We start from the raw sequence: 15565 nt of genomic DNA, 5'->3' as shown, positions 1-15565 counted from the left end.
TCTGCCTCTACTAGAAACTCCAAGTTCTCCAGCCCAACACAGCACTCAAGGGCCCCTAAGAATGAGTCAACAGAGAGATGTCACTTGGGCACGTTGCCCTGCCGGTATAGGCTGGGATGTTCACAACAATCTTGATGCAGACAAAGAAGCAGGAGGTGACAACAGGTTTCTCACTTTGAACTGATCTCAGCTCACACCTTCCTCCTAGTTACCTTATCTCAGCACTCATCTTTCAGATTTGTCATCTGGGTTTCTTTGCAAAAAAATTAAAGAATGTAAGACATCATGGTCCATTTCTATTCTTCCCTTTTAAGTTACCACAGCAATTTGCCCTTGGTGACTGGAGGCCTTGCTTTAGTCAGCACCTGTGTGCCGTTTACCACCAGAGGCTTGGCCTTCTCCACACTTTTTAAAGAGACCCGTTGACAGAATCGTTACAACCATTCAGCCAGGGTTGTGGACCCTTGGCACATTCGTCCTTGGCACTGCTGACATTTGGGACCAGGTAATTATTTGTGTGTGTGTGGGCGGGGGGAGGGGGGCTGTCTGTTCTGTGCATTACTGAAGGATGTTTAGCAGAATCCTGGCCTCTATCACTAGATATTCCAGTAATACTCCCCTACTCGTGCCAACTGAAAATGTCTCCAGACATTGCCAATTGTCTCCTGGGAGACAAAAATCGCTCCTGGTTTATTGAGAACCACCGCTTAAATGGGAAAACAAGGCTCCAGGGCAGATGTCCTCAGAATGTCTTTATGTCACTGGATCTCCACCAGAAATCACCATTCCTGCCCTTCTGGCCCAGGCATGTCCCTACACTGATTTCTTCTCTTATAACAGAGAAAAGTCAGCTTCTCCTGAAGATTGACCCTTATCCTCCTGTTGATGACAGCAGCAGCCAAGAGGCAGCAGTTTTTCTCAAAACTGTTAGCCCATGAGTAACAACTTCTTCTTTTTTAAAAATTCTTTATTTCTGTAGGTTTTGGGGGAACAGGTGGTATTTGGTTACATGAGTAAGTTCTTCAGTGGTCATTTGTGAGATTTTGGTGCACCCATCACCCGAGCAGTATACACTGAACCCTATTTGTAGTTTTTTATTCCTTACCCTCTCCCACCCTTTCCCCCAAGTCCCAAAAATCCATTGTATCATTCTTATGCCTTTCCGTCCTCATAGCTTAGCTCCCACTTATGAGTGAGAACATATGATGTTTGGTTTTCTGTTCCTGAGTTACTTCACTTAGAATAGTATTCTCCGATCCCATCCAGGTTGCTGCAAATGCCATTAATTCATTCCTTTTTATGGATGAGTAGTAGTCTATTGTATATATATACCACAGCTTCTTTATCCACTCATTGATTGATGGGCATTTGGGTTGGTTCCACACTTTTACAATCGCAAATTGTGCTGCTATTAATATGCATGTGCAAGTATCTTTTTCATATAATGACTCCTTTTCCTCTAGGTAGATACCCAGTAGTGAGATTGCTGGATCAAATAGTAGTTCTTATACCAGAGTGAGAAGGGTTTCACTGCAGAAACCCTCAGTAAAAAGGCTGCTGGGCTGCTGGATTTCCTGCCTAGATGAGCAGTGCTCCCCTGGAAAGACACAGGCTGGAACCTTCAGGAGCTGATTGGCTCACCTCTCCTCTGTTTGGGTGTAGCCCCCAAAAGGGCTACCCCACTTGGACTCCCTATACCACAGCTCAGTGCATGGCAGGATGCCCACATTGTTTACACTCCTGAGGATACCATCAGTACCTTCAGGTACAATGGTGCCCACCAGTTTAAGGCACAGCATATTGAAGGGCCTTCAAGTCAGGTCTCCTAACTCCTACCCAGCCCTGCAGTCACCTTTGATAAGTAAATATCACATCAACACGTGTAACCCAGATGGCATAGCCTAAGGAAGCTTGTCTTTCTGGAAAATGACCTAACTATACCAATCTTCATTAAAAGGTGCTGAAATGCCAACATGGAAGCAATCCCAAATGTAATAGAAAGGTCATGTTTTAATCTAAAGAACTGAACTCATTTTTCAGAACATACAGTCAACATATGCAAGCAAATCATGTTGAGCTGTGATCCAAATGGATGTTTTTCTAGTTTTAGTTTTAGTTGTTAAATGATACAAATATTTCTGCCCCTTTAGAGTGATAGCCAAACACTTAGTCATCATGTAAGTCACTGTAATACTGCATCTTGGAAAGGAGGTATCAACAGCAATGAACAACTCTGTAACATTCCAGCACCCTACTAAGGTGGGCAGAGCTCAAGTTTCCTAACACACTTTCCCAACAGCTCTCTGATCAACCCCCGCAGATTAATAAACTTCTAATGTGGGAAGAGGTTCTAGGCATGAAGGAATTGGCTTGCTTTTAGTCGGTGTGAGATCCTGGAGAATCCTAATGAAAACAGCAATAACTACATGATGAAATACCAAATATTCGTATTCAAACTGTGCTTAAATATACCCAACAGGGTATACTGCCAAATATATTTTTTTCTGTTGGGTAGTTTTATGACTTAATGAAACCAATATGTCACTAATCACCCAAGATTCATGCTTCAGATGTGAATGGCCCCTCTATTTTGTTTCAAATTGCTCATCAATCTCTACTAACCATGTCTGTGGAAATGTCACCAGGATATTTTCTGGCTCTGAATTCATGAATGTTAAAAGTACAATAATTTGCATTCATACTAACTGGCTTCAAAGTGCAAATGAGTAACCGGTTAGAGGTAAAAGAACATTGTTCTGAGAGAGATAGGAGATGGATGTTTCCATAAGGTGACCCTGAGCAGGTGACTTAACAACCAGGCTTCAGTTTCTTTATTTGTAAATGATGGGATTGGATACATTCAATGTCTCCCAAACTTCAGATTTAAGTACAACCTTCATGATTGTTGCCAAATATATGGGTTACCTCTTCTACTAATTATTCTATTAATTATTTTTAAATACGCACTTTTTAATATAAATTAATCTTAAAAGGAAATTTTATACTGATACCATAAATGGAAAATTAATGTCAGTTGACATAAATATAGATAACTAAATGAAAGCAAAAAGAATGTATTAAATTCTAACTAAATTTGATGTTGCCAGCTGAAGGGTAAGGTCCTATCCTCTGACTAAAAAAGGACCTGTTTACATGGTCCACATGGGATACAGTGGGAGTCCACAAAGTAAATAATGAGGCTTTGTGGGCCACAGAACCTCTGGTGCAAGTAGGTAACTACTCTGCCATTGTAGCGTGAAAGAAGCCATAGGCCAAATGTAAATGAATGGGTTGGCTGTGTTCCAATAAAACTTTATTTACAAAAATAAGTAATGGGCCAGATATGGTCCTCAGTCTGCAGTTTGCCAACCCCTGGATTAGACGAGTGTGAAAGATCCACTATCACTAAGCAAAGACTTAATCAGAAGAGTTGGGAGAGAATTTTAAAAGGAGTTCCTTTCCTAGCTGGAGGTCCAATGGCTTTAATGCTTTCAGTGTTCCATGTCACCCATTTGGAAAAACCTGGGTTCAATTTTCACTTTAAGATTTCATGCTAAACCTCTTCCCTTTATCTTTAGCATCTTGGATAAGGTCAAGGATTTCTTTCTTGTGTAAACCTTCAGCACATTTCTAAGTTGTCTTCCTCCTTTACCGGGATATCAACAGCGGAAGTTTCTAATTTTTCTCAGACTAACGGTTCTCAACCCTGGCTGCTTGTTAGAATTGTCTGGGGAGTTTTAGAAATATTTATACCTGATATATCCCTGTACCTCAGAGATTCTGATTTCATAGGATCAGACTGGGATCCCAAATGATTTTGAGTGCAATCCGGGTTGAAAGGCTACTAATCTATATCTTGGCAAGGTCACTTTCCTCAGAGTCCATTATTTTCTCCATTTGGTATTAAATTCTAAGAGCCCCAAACTCTATTTAGCTCAAACTGTTTCACACCCGAAGGTCTTAGGACTTCACTTTCATTTGTGATTCCTGTTATTTCTCCAACTGAGGTCTGATTGAGCCCTCCCAGACACCTTGGTTAAATTTACTGTTCCTCTTTTCATTCTCTCTGCTTCATCATTTTGGAAAGCTTGACACTATTCTCAGCTCAAGATTTCTATCCAGATAAGTTTCCTGTTCCATTCTTCTGTCCCTACTACTGCCACTGACTCTGACATTAATACAAACTGGGAGCAAGACCAGGACGCAAAGAAAAGGCATTCAGTGTATTCTGTAACATACAAAGGAAGAAGATTCTTCCTCCCATGGAAAAGAAGATAACATTTACCAAGTACCTACAATGTGTCAAGCATTGTGCTAGGTGCTGGGGATATGAGAGTGAACATGACATAACCTAGCCTCCAAAAGTCTTACAGTCTAGGGAAGGAAATAGACTAATAAAAAAGTATGATAATGTATCTGTTAAAAGATCTGATAGAAGACTCTAGAGTGGAGGGTAGAACAAAAGAGTCAGTGGTGTGCTAGAATATGTCTCACCACCAGCTCTCCAGGAGAAAACAAAAGCCTAATTTGTGGTGCTTGCCAATTTCCGTGGTGTAAATACTTTCACTGTGACTGATTTCAGGTTACCAGCATGATCTCGCCAAGCAGAGTTGGGAGGAGATCACACAATTTGTTCTTGCCAGCTTGCAAAGTCAGCTCCAGCTAGCAGGGCCAACCATCCTGGTTTACCTGGAACTGTCCCAGTTTTAGCACTTAAAGACCCACATTCCAGGGAACCCCTATGTCCTGGGCAATCAAACAGTTTAGCTTCAGCACACCACTGGAAGAATTCGATTCTTCCCAAGAGGATCAGGAATGGTTTCAGAAAGGGGAGGCTTCAGCTTATTTGCTTAAGTAGAAACATTCTCCACTGTTGCCAATGGAATCAATGGCTCTGTGCTGTCAATCTCAAGTTTCTTTGGTCCTCCGAGGACTCAGGAAGTTGCAGGGAGGAATCCACTTGCAGCATTCCCCCTTTTTCCTCCCCCTGCCTCCCACTGATGGGCCCCTTGGGAATCAAACAACTCAGCAATCCATTTGCATAGATTCTGTCAAGCAGGGAGAAGTGATATTTTACCTATAAATATATTTGGCAATTTATCCAGCTGGAAAGCAGGCACCCATCAGAAGAAAGCATATTGGAAACCTTGGCCATCCCACTGGCTTCGTGTCTTTTCAGTCTTCAAAATGTGTCTGCTAAAATTCAGCCCCCTCGTACACTGTAGTCTTTTAGCTATGATCCCTCCTCTACTTGAAGGGAAAGATACTTTAGGAAAGGGAGAACTGGAAGATTGGGTGTGAAATGAGGAGGGAAGGAGAAGGAAGAAGCTTCCTAACAGCCTTTGAAGGGCAGAAGGGCCACTTCCTCCCCTGCCAGCCCTGAGTCATCATAATGAAACCTCCCTGTCCAGCGCTGTGACATTGTCTTATTTAATCTTCCTGAGATTCTTCAGGGTGGGCAGGTATTAGTCCCATTTTACAAATGAGAGGCAGAAAACATGATTCTATTAGCATCAGAAGGAATATTGGGAGCAGAATTTGACAATAGTGCCTCTCCTACATACACACTTTGCTCACTGGGAGATGGCTGTCTGTTTTGCCTTGCAAATAGCGGTGACTTCATTTTTCATTTTACTTTCTATTTTCTCATCATCGAGAATATTTATTGATCCTACAGCTATGCAAGGGGTTCTTGGCTTCTCTGGTCACCGGACAAGTCTCAGGTCTCATCTAGTGTTTCTGTAAAAGACTATCATTCTAAGAGTTGAACTGAGCTTTTCTTTCTTTCTTTCTTTCTTTCTTTCTTTCTTTCTTTCTTTCTTTCTTTCTTTTCTTTTCTTTCTTTTTCTTTCTTTCTTTTTGAGACAGGGTCTCACTCTGTCACCCAGGCTGGAGTGTAGTAGTGCAACCACGGCTCACTGCAACCTCAACTTCCTGGCCTCAAGTGATTCTCCTGCTTCAGCCTCAGCCTCCCAAGTAGCTGGGACTACTGGCACACACCACCATGCCAAGCTAAATGTTTAAAATTTTTTGTAGAGACAGGGTCTCATTATGTTGCCCAGGCTGGTCTTGAACTCCTGGTCTCAAGCAATCCTCCCGCCTTGGCCTCCCAAAGTGCTGGAATTACTGGCATGAGCCACCCTACCTGGCCCAGCTTTTCTATTATTAAATTAAAAATAATAACTATTATTTAGACAATAACCCCAAAAACCCATTAATGAGAAGTCAATAGTAGAGTTTCTGAATCCAGACTGCATGGGTTTGAATCCCTATCTCATCATACTTGTGTGTCTTGGTTTTTCTCATCTGCAAAATAGGAGGTAATAATACCTACCCCATAGGGTTGTTGGGAGAATTAAATGAGTTGCTATTTGTAAACGGTCTGGACCCATGCCCGGCACATATGAAGTGCTCTATATTTTGCTGTCATTCTCAATTTTGAGTTTTCCTCCTATACATCTCTCTTAGAACTTTAGCCCCTGCTACTCTTTTTCTATGAGTACAAAGTGATTTCTAATTTAGGACAAGCTTTTGTAAACAGTCATTTTGAGCTTCCTATAGTAAACTTCCAATTTTAAAGGCACTACACAAAGCACCATGCAAAGGGCTCACTCAACACTCAGCAGGAATCAGGTCAAGATGGAAGAAAGGAATAAAAATAACACTCAGCACTCACCACGTGTTGAATATCCTGCCAAGCGCTCTTGATACATATTCTCCTAACAACCCATACGAGGTGGGTACTATTATTACCATCTTTCAGATGGGAAAACAGCCTTGGAAAAGATACGGAGGAAAAAACAGCCTCGTGCCTGGTTCAAAGGTAGATGTCTGTGAGAGAGGAGGCAGAACTTATGTGACCTCAAAGAAGAACCTTCCCCAAACTGGACTCAGTTTCCTTAAATCTGTAGTATTCTTAAGATCTATACAAGGCAAGTTTACAATGGAATATTATTCAGCCTCAAAAAAGAAGGAAATTCTGCCATTTGTGACAACTTGAACAAACCTGGGGAACATTATGCTAAGTGAAATAAGGGAGAAAAATAAATACTGCATGATTCTACTTACATGAGGTACCTAAAATAGTCAAACTCATAGAAGTAAAGAATAGAACTGTACTTACCAGGGACCAGAGGGAGGGGAAATGAAGCACTGTTCAACTGGTACAAAGTTTTGGTTACGCAAGATGAATTCGTTCTAGAGATCTGGAGTACAGCAAACTGTACCCTATACTTTATTACACACTTAAAAAATTGTTAAGGTCAATTGTTAAGGTCAAGTGCAGTGGCTCATGCCTGTAATCCTAATACTTATGGAGGCCAAGACTGAAGGATCACATGAGGCGGGAGGATTGCTTGAGCCCAGGAGTTCAAGACCAGCCTGGGCAACATAGTGAGTCCCTCTTGCTACAAAAATTTTTAAATATAAAGTATTATTTGTTTAATGGGTTGATGTCAAGTTAAATGTTCTTAACTCACACACACACACACACACACACACACACACACACACACACGGGGACACAGGAAACGTTCATAGCTGATGAAATACTTATTACCTTGATGGTGGTGATGATATTATGAGTGTATGCCTATGTCCAAATTCACCAAATTGTATAATTAAATATACAATATATTTTACAGCAATTATACCTCAGTAAAGATGTTTAAAATATTTTTCAGGAATTTTGAAAAAAAAACTATACAAGGCAAGCTTAATCAGAATCACCAATATTGGCGCAAGGTGCCATTAACCAACAGTGGCAATGGTAACAGCCTAAACCGAGGAGAATCAGGTGTGTCTGAGGCTCTCTCCAGCACACCCTTCACCTGCCTCCATTTTGCTCCTGCTTAACAAGCCCAGGCAAAACTACCTGGTTCTAATCTTGGCCCTGGTATTTAATCTCATTTCATGCCAGCTCAAACAGCAGTTCTCTGTAGATCAGTGTACAGTTAGCCCTCTGCCCTCTGCTCCCTGGCTCTTCCCGGGGGCCCCTCCTGGCTCACAGCCCAGATACTAAGCAACCATTGTCAAATGTTTACTGAGCAGAGTGCAGCCAGCCAAGGCTTCTGAGGAACTGCACTGGAAATATTAAACAGTCCAAATGCCACTCCCATTGCATTTTGATAATACTTTCAGAGTTTACAAATGACCCTTACATCCTATGTCACCCAGCATCCCACCTCCTACGTGCCACCACCTGAGTGCTTACCGTAATCCAGCACCGTGCTACTACATCCCAAACACGAATGCATCTACACCGCACACCACCCCATGCACAGGTGCATCTCCACTTTAAAGATGAGACAACTAAGGCTCAGAGACGTGAATCAGCTTGCCCAAGGTGGTACAACCAGCAAAGGGCAAAACAGCAATTGAACAGAGTAGGTCTGACTCCCAAGTCCACACTATGTGGACTATTATGTCATGATTAGATGCAATCATGTTAGCACATTGATAGGTCATAGTAAGCACGCAAGTACACAGACTCCCAAAGCATCAGGCTGTGGTCTCTCCCTGGCATGTCTTTCTTCTACCTCCCCTCTCTCTTTTATTTAATTGCTTGTCTAATTCCTACCGCCCTTTGAGAACCAGCACAAATGTCAACTCCTCCTTAAAAATTCCTTTCTCCTCTCAGCTATTTGTACCCAAAAGTGCTTACTGTATCATAATGCAATTGTCATGTGTCATTTACATGTTTATTTCCCTGGGAACAGGGACTATGCTTCATAAATCATGGAGTCAACTTCAACTGGGGTAGTGCTTAACATACAATAGATTTTCAGTACTTGTTTGTTCAAGGAAGATAAGGGAGGAAAAATAAGGAGAAGAAAGAAGAAGAAAAAGAGAAAGAGAAAGAGAGGGAAAAATAATTCAGAGTCTAATTTGCCTGTAACATATTTCTTAATTAATTCACATGCCTCTCATGAAACAATCTATTCTTATTGTCCAGCCTTGAAGCTATTCAAGTAGAAAATCAGGACACAAGGACTGACAAGTATGAATGTACTTAAGTGAGTGTATTTCTGGCTGTGTTCTGGAAGATGCTGGTTACTATATAATACTTAGAGCAACCAATTTGCAAATCATATCCCTCAGCAAACTCCTTCACACATTCCATCCCCAGAGTTTGCTGCAACCTGGAAGATGTTCCTAGAATGTTCCATTTCTATTATAAGAGTTAAGACTTCCTTGAATTGGACTGGGACAGAAGGCATTTGATCAGGCGTCTGTTTTTCCATTCTGGTTCTTCTGGCTGAGGGTATCAGAATCTTGATTCAAAAGAGCTGACCTCCCTCCTGGGCAATCTGCTCTGTTGCAGCAGGAACATCCCTGAGTCATTTCTCAACGTAGGTGTTTTCTGCATTCTTTCTGCCAAGGTGACACCGCTTCCTAGGATCAGAGCATCTCGTTTATTTTCTATGCTTCCTCCTTTGAGAAAAATGGATCATTCATGTCCTTGTTTTAGAGGAGGAAACACAGGAACGTAAATACACAGAGAAGGACATGTAGACCTACTAGAAGGAAGAAAAAACCAAAGTGGAAGTCCCCCCAGCACCAGTGCTGCCTTGTTCATGCACCAGGCAGTGCCTTTCATAGAGCTGACAGCACTTGCTTCCATTTTGGACCTGAGGTCCAGGCATGATGGCCAGCACCTCAACAGAAAGGTATCCCAGGGAGAGTCTCACACCCCATGAGGTGTGAATTTTCACACTCGTCAAATGAGACAGTTAACAAGGTGTGATGTTGGGACATCATGCCAGGCCACCTGGACTCCGCAGTGTGACTGCCCGGTGTAAAATATATGTCTGGAACTTCAGATCCAAGCTGCAGGTGACCAATGAGAAATTGATCTTTAGAGTGCCATTTACAAGGTGAAAACTCCTCAAGCAGGAAAGGGGTTTGAAATATTCTGGAAAGTTTATTGCTGATTTGCCTTCAACAAATATCAATAGTTTGCATTTACAAAGTCCATGCTGTCAGCCAGGCTTGTTTTAGATGCTTGGCATGAATAACTTTAATTCCTCCAGGAACCTTACGTGGTAGGAACTATTATTATCCCCATTTACCATAGTTAGTTTCTAAGTGAGATCCGAAAAAAGTCGGTGGGGTGGCGGGCAGCTGGAAAAACACTCGAGGAATCGCAGGGAGTTTCAACATGGCTTTACTCTTTCTCTGGGCGCAAGCGAGCCTGGGTGCGAGTCTGGGCGTGAGCCCCAAGCCAGAGGTACAGCGTTAGCAGCGTAATTGTACCTTTTACAGACAACAGTGGCTCCAAGCCAAGCACGAGCGCATCTGAGTGGTTACTTAATGCGCCTCACGTGGCGTGGTTACGTAAGGTGTGGACTTGTGCATCTGCACTCCAAACCTGCTGAGACACGCCCCGTCAGAAAGTCGCCTCGGCCTACTCCCTACTAGAGTGCAGCCATCTCCCTTACAACCATGAAGAAAGTACAGCACAGAGAGGTTCTCTAACTTGCCCGAAGTCACACGGCTAATAAGCAGTTGTGCTGGGACTCAAATTCACTCTGACAATAAAGCCACATTCTTCAACTTTACTATTATATTTTCAGTGGCCACCTATTATAAATATGATGTTGCTTGGGCATTATAAGATAAATATTTGACAAGTATGGAAGATATCTATCCATCTGGGATCAACATATGTGAATTAGAAACCTATATATCTACATATGGTACATATGTTTGTGTATGTATCTTCATATACATACCTTCCAAACCTGTTAAATCTAAATATGTAGAATTGAAATCTGCTTGGATATCACTTTTATGAAATCTTATCACAAGGCAAAAAGCCAAGAAATGACCCAAAGAGACAGGGGAAGGACTAACATTTATCTAGCTCCCTGTTTTCTGGCATTTGAAAAGTTATTTCACGTAAACCTCAAGCCTTGCAACACAGAGACTGCTCCCATTTTACAGATGAGGAAATGGTAGCTTAGAGGTTAATGGCCCAAGTTCACACAGCTGCTAAGAGGCAGATCCTCATTCAAACCAGGATTCCTGTGGGCTCAAAGCGCAGACCTCCAAAATCATTATTATTGACGTTTAATATCTTGTGCTGTTTTTATCTGTCTCCTGAGTGTCAGTGCAAGCACTGTCAAAAAATAAACAAATTGAAAGAAAACAAAACAAGGAATGTTGCCCTGGCTCTACAATGTCTCCTAGTTGAAAACAAATGGAATATCCGTGTGGTCTCCTAAAGCCTCACAAGCTTGTCAGACCCCATCCTGGAGTACCCCGCAGCCCATTCTGTATCTGACTTGCATTCTCACTGTATGCAGAAGTTCTGCTCAGTTGCTTCAGGTTTCAAAAACTAAATCTCTGGATAGGGAAACAGGCCTGAGGCCCATCGTCAGCTGTCTATCCTATTAACAATGAACAATGGACGTGGAATGTCCGCTCCATCTACATTCCCGAGAAGAAGTTCGGTACCCAGCTCCTGGGAACAAGCCATAGGACACCCGTTCCATCAGCACTGAGCATCGCTGATGAATACAGCCATTGTGGAGGCAGCCCCCACCACAATGAGGGGACAACGCCAAACCGACTGTTTTTCTTTTTCTTTTAAAATCACATCACATGATTCTTTCACTTCGACATCAAATATCCTGCTGTTACAAGGAACAAGCCTGAATTATCTTCTCAAGCAGATTAGGAAAGATAACCAACGTGGCTAACAGTGGTTCCTACAGGGAGTCAGGCCACTGGGACCTCAACCTGCCCTGCTGATGGTGGCGCCTCTGATAGAGAGTCCTACCCCACATTATTTGTTAAGGTGGCTCACGCCTGTAATCCTAGCATGTTGGGAGGCCGAGGTGGGTGGATCGCTTGAGCTCAGGAGTTTGAGACCAGCCTGGGCAACGGGTGAGACCCCATCTCTACCAAAAATACAAAAATTAGCCAGGCGTGGTGGCACATGCCTGTAATCCCAGCTACTTGGGTGGCTGAGGCAGGAGAATCGCTTGAACCCGGGAGGCAGAGGCTGCAGGGAACCGAAACTGCAACACTACACTCTACCTTGGGCAACAGAGTGAGACCCTGTCTCAAAAAATTTTTTTGAAAAAGGAAAAAAGGAAAAATTAAGTCCCAATATTATCTTCATTCATAGCACATGACTCAACACTCTCCTGCTGCACCTCCCAGATATCAGAGTTACTTGGGATCAAATGACACTTATTTACTAGGTTTTTTGGTCTTGGGCATGTTGAGAGCATTCTTTTGTCTCACCCCTCAGCTCCTACAACTCTGTGATATTTGTATCATGGAATGGCCTCCCTAAAACGGGAAGGGGATGAGGGGCAGGCATGTCATTTAGATCTGTCAGAATCAGAAAATCTGGTTCTAGCCTTGGCTCCCACTCAACCGCTGCCTGGCCAGGTGATCTTAGACAAGTCTCCACACGGTCTCTGCAAGCCCTCACAGCTTCTTTGTGCAAATGAGAAAAAGGTGACCCTTGAGGGGAAGCAGTCCTGCCAGCACCAGGCTTGGCAAGCATGCCCCCAGCTCAGTTCTGCCCCAGCCCCTCAGCCAGGGCCTCAGGCAGGGCATAACCCACACAGCCATTTGCAGAGCCCTGCATCTCTGTTTCAGCGCATTAGTTGTCAAGTGGGACAGATCATGTGTCCCAAAAAATTCTCTGCACTGATGAGGCTAACAGGACATAGAGAACAGCTCATGAATTAGCCGAGTGATAGGAGATTTCTGTTGCCCTGATTCAATTCTACCTCACTTCCTGGGCACTCCATAATACTTCGGATGAAAAGCAAAGAAGCCATTACTATTTCGAAGTTGCCACTTCCACACTTAGAGGACCAGCTCCTTCAGAATTTGATCAAAAGTAGGGTGGCCTTTATAAGTGTGCAGCCTCTGCAACTGCATAGGGCCCCATGCTCAGAAGGGCCCTGTGCTTGGCTTAATACTCTGATGTTACCATATTGAAATTCTTGGTAATTTTTGAGGAAGGAGCCCTGCACTTTCATTTTGTACTAAGCCCAGCAAATTATGTAGCTGGTCCTGCCAACAAGCCTACAAAAGCACCAAATAGCTTTCTTACATCTCACAAAAGATTTGGATAAGGAAAACAGGAGGTATCATTCTGCAACTCCAGAGTCATCCGACCCCTCTGTTGGATGATGGAAGCTCTAGTTATAGAATGTGAGGCAGTATTGTGCGCTGCACAGAGCACAGGCTTTAGGAGGCAAATTGAGCTGGGTTCAGTCCTGCATCCTGCCAGACCTCAAACAAATTATCTAACCTGCCTGAACCCAGGTTTCCTTACCTGGAAGGCAGACTAGTAATGCCCACTCTTCCCTATGCATAATGAAGAAAGGTCTATAAACTGCCTGGCACACAGCAGGTGTACAACAATGTCAGTCCCCTTTCTGGCTTGTTTCAGGAACAGATGCTGCGAGATGGGGCATGCCCTCATGTTCCAAAAGGCAGGGAGGTTATAGGTGGCCCTGATGTTCCTTTCGGCTCTAGGAGTCTATGATTCTCCATTAACTAAAGCCTCAAGCCAACTCACCTTCAGCCCACAGATGTTAGCCAGGACACTTTGGATCGCAAGGATGGAAACCCAACTCATATTAACTTAGACCAAGGAAGTTTGCTAGCTAATGAAACGGGGAAGCCCAAGGACACAGGCGCTGCTGTGTCTGAGGATTTGTACAATGTGATTCTTTCTCTCTCTCCCTTTATGTAGTGGACAAAATGGGCACTAAGAGCCCTAGACTCACGCACTTTCACTGTAGCAGACTCAGCAGGAGGCAGACGTGTATCTCTCTCAGTATCTATGTATCCACCAAGGGAAAGACTCTAATTGACTCTAATCCTGCTTGGATTACATCTTCACTCCTGAACCAATCCTGATTGCCAGAGTCACAGGACACGTGCCTACATTGGTGACCAAGGGCAGGACAAAGGGGCTCAAGCCTCATGACTGACAGCCCCAGTGAGGCCACACAATGGGGGAAGGGGAAATAAGGAGAATAAGGATGCCATGCAGAGAAAGGCAACATACCCACTGAGCTGCATGTGGTTGACTGTTCACTTCCACTGGGTGCCAAAGGATATGAAAGCAGGGAGAGTTGAACTGCGGTGCTACTGCCAGTAGCACTTAAACCAGCCTTCACTGAAGGATGGAAAATATATGGACATGCCGGGCGCCGTGGCTCACACCTGTAATCCCAGCACTTTGGGAGGCCAAGGCAGGCAGATTGCCTGAGCTCAGGAGTTCAAGACCAGCCTGGGAAACATGGCAAAACCCCATCTCTACTAAAAATACAAAAAATTAGCCAGGCATGGTGGCGTGCACCTATAATCCCAGCTATGGGGAGGCTGAGGCATGAAAATCACTTGAACCCAGGAGGTGGAGGTTGTAGTGAGCTGAGATCGCACCACTTCACTCCAGCCTGGTTGACAGAGAGAGACTGTGTCTCAAAAAAGAAAAGAAAATATATGGACACATATCACTTAGGAAAAGCTCCATGAGAAAAGGCAAAGACAGGAAACTCAGGGTGTGTTCCTAGCTACCAGCTGCATAACTACAATTAACCTCACAGGTTAATTGCAGTTTTTAATAGTTATGTGTTTATATTTATGGTTACCTTCCATTTATGCAAGCAATACTGGGTTTCCATTTTTGTGCTCACAAAAATTTCCTTTTTAAGATAACTTTAAGTAAAAACAAATGTCAATTTAAAAGAAAATAATAAGCAAATAATAATTATAAGCAAACAATAATTTCCTTATTATTTAGACATAGGTAACTGTGGATGCAATAGTGCATGTATTGTGCCAATGACTGAAGTATGGGAAACAGCTCAATACACTATATAAACAGGACTTTACCTTCCCAAGGAGCACTAAAACCAAAACTGTGCTTTTACTGGTTCCTACAGTATCTCCAACAAACCAAATATGTATCTCTCATTGTATGGATGGCAAAGATCCAAGTCACCATATGAACCTGTAATAAGGTCCTAGAACCCTCAGCCTCTGACCTATTCCTTAGACATAGCTGTGTCTCATGACAAAGGGGGAGAACAAGCACTCCAGTACACTGGCTTACAGTATTATTCTTTGTTTCAGAGGCAGACACACAAAGGTGGGGTTGATATGAAAATCTCTCATTGCAGAGCTGGCCAGGATGATTGTCCTTGAGAACAGAGGGGCCCATTCTCCTGGTCATCCAAGGCCAGCTGGCCCCAAGGAGTACCAGCCACCTCTCTGGGGCCAGAGTCTCCCCAGCTGATTTCCGCATGTACCAGTGTGTGAAGTGACAGCTGGTCCCTGGTTAGGATGACTATTTGGTCCTCCAGTTTGCTACCGATTTTAGCCAGAGATCATTTAGGAATGCGTATATTGTCATCTCACCTTTTCAATTATTTTCTCCAGGCTAAAGCGAGCAGTCCTCAGGGTTTTGATGTGGATCGAGATGCCAAAAAGCTGAACAAAGCCTGCAAAGGAATGGGTATGAGAGATATTTTGTTGCTAATTTGCTTCTGAAGTTGATTAAACTTGGTCTCATGTCCAACTTCCC

The 15565-nt window shown here is 43.2% G+C and overlaps 1 protein-coding gene and 1 long non-coding RNA gene across 3 annotated transcripts in view; one reads left to right on the top strand and one right to left on the bottom strand.

Moving 5' to 3' along the window:
- The window catches only part of LOC105375739 (uncharacterized), a 46366-nt gene extending 38073 nt beyond the window's left edge, over window positions 1-8293 (bottom strand). The window contains exon 1 of the long non-coding RNA XR_928607.4: window positions 8213-8293. This is a non-coding gene — a long non-coding RNA (uncharacterized LOC105375739). The remainder of the gene's footprint in view (window positions 1-8212) is intronic.
- Window positions 1-15565, top strand: part of ANXA13 (annexin A13) — a 56600-nt gene that overhangs the window by 9220 nt on the left and 31815 nt on the right. For both annotated transcript variants that reach the window (NM_004306.4, NM_001003954.3), the window contains one exon: window positions 15421-15496. In NM_004306.4, coding sequence (NP_004297.2) covers window positions 15421-15496 — 76 coding nt within the window. The remainder of the gene's footprint in view (window positions 1-15420; window positions 15497-15565) is intronic.

Source organism: Homo sapiens, chromosome 8, assembly GCF_000001405.40.
Source record: "Homo sapiens chromosome 8, GRCh38.p14 Primary Assembly".
Taxonomy (NCBI): domain Eukaryota; kingdom Metazoa; phylum Chordata; class Mammalia; order Primates; family Hominidae; genus Homo; species Homo sapiens.
The sequence above is the reverse complement of the archived record's forward strand: the minus strand, read 5'-3'. Positions and strand labels throughout refer to the sequence as shown.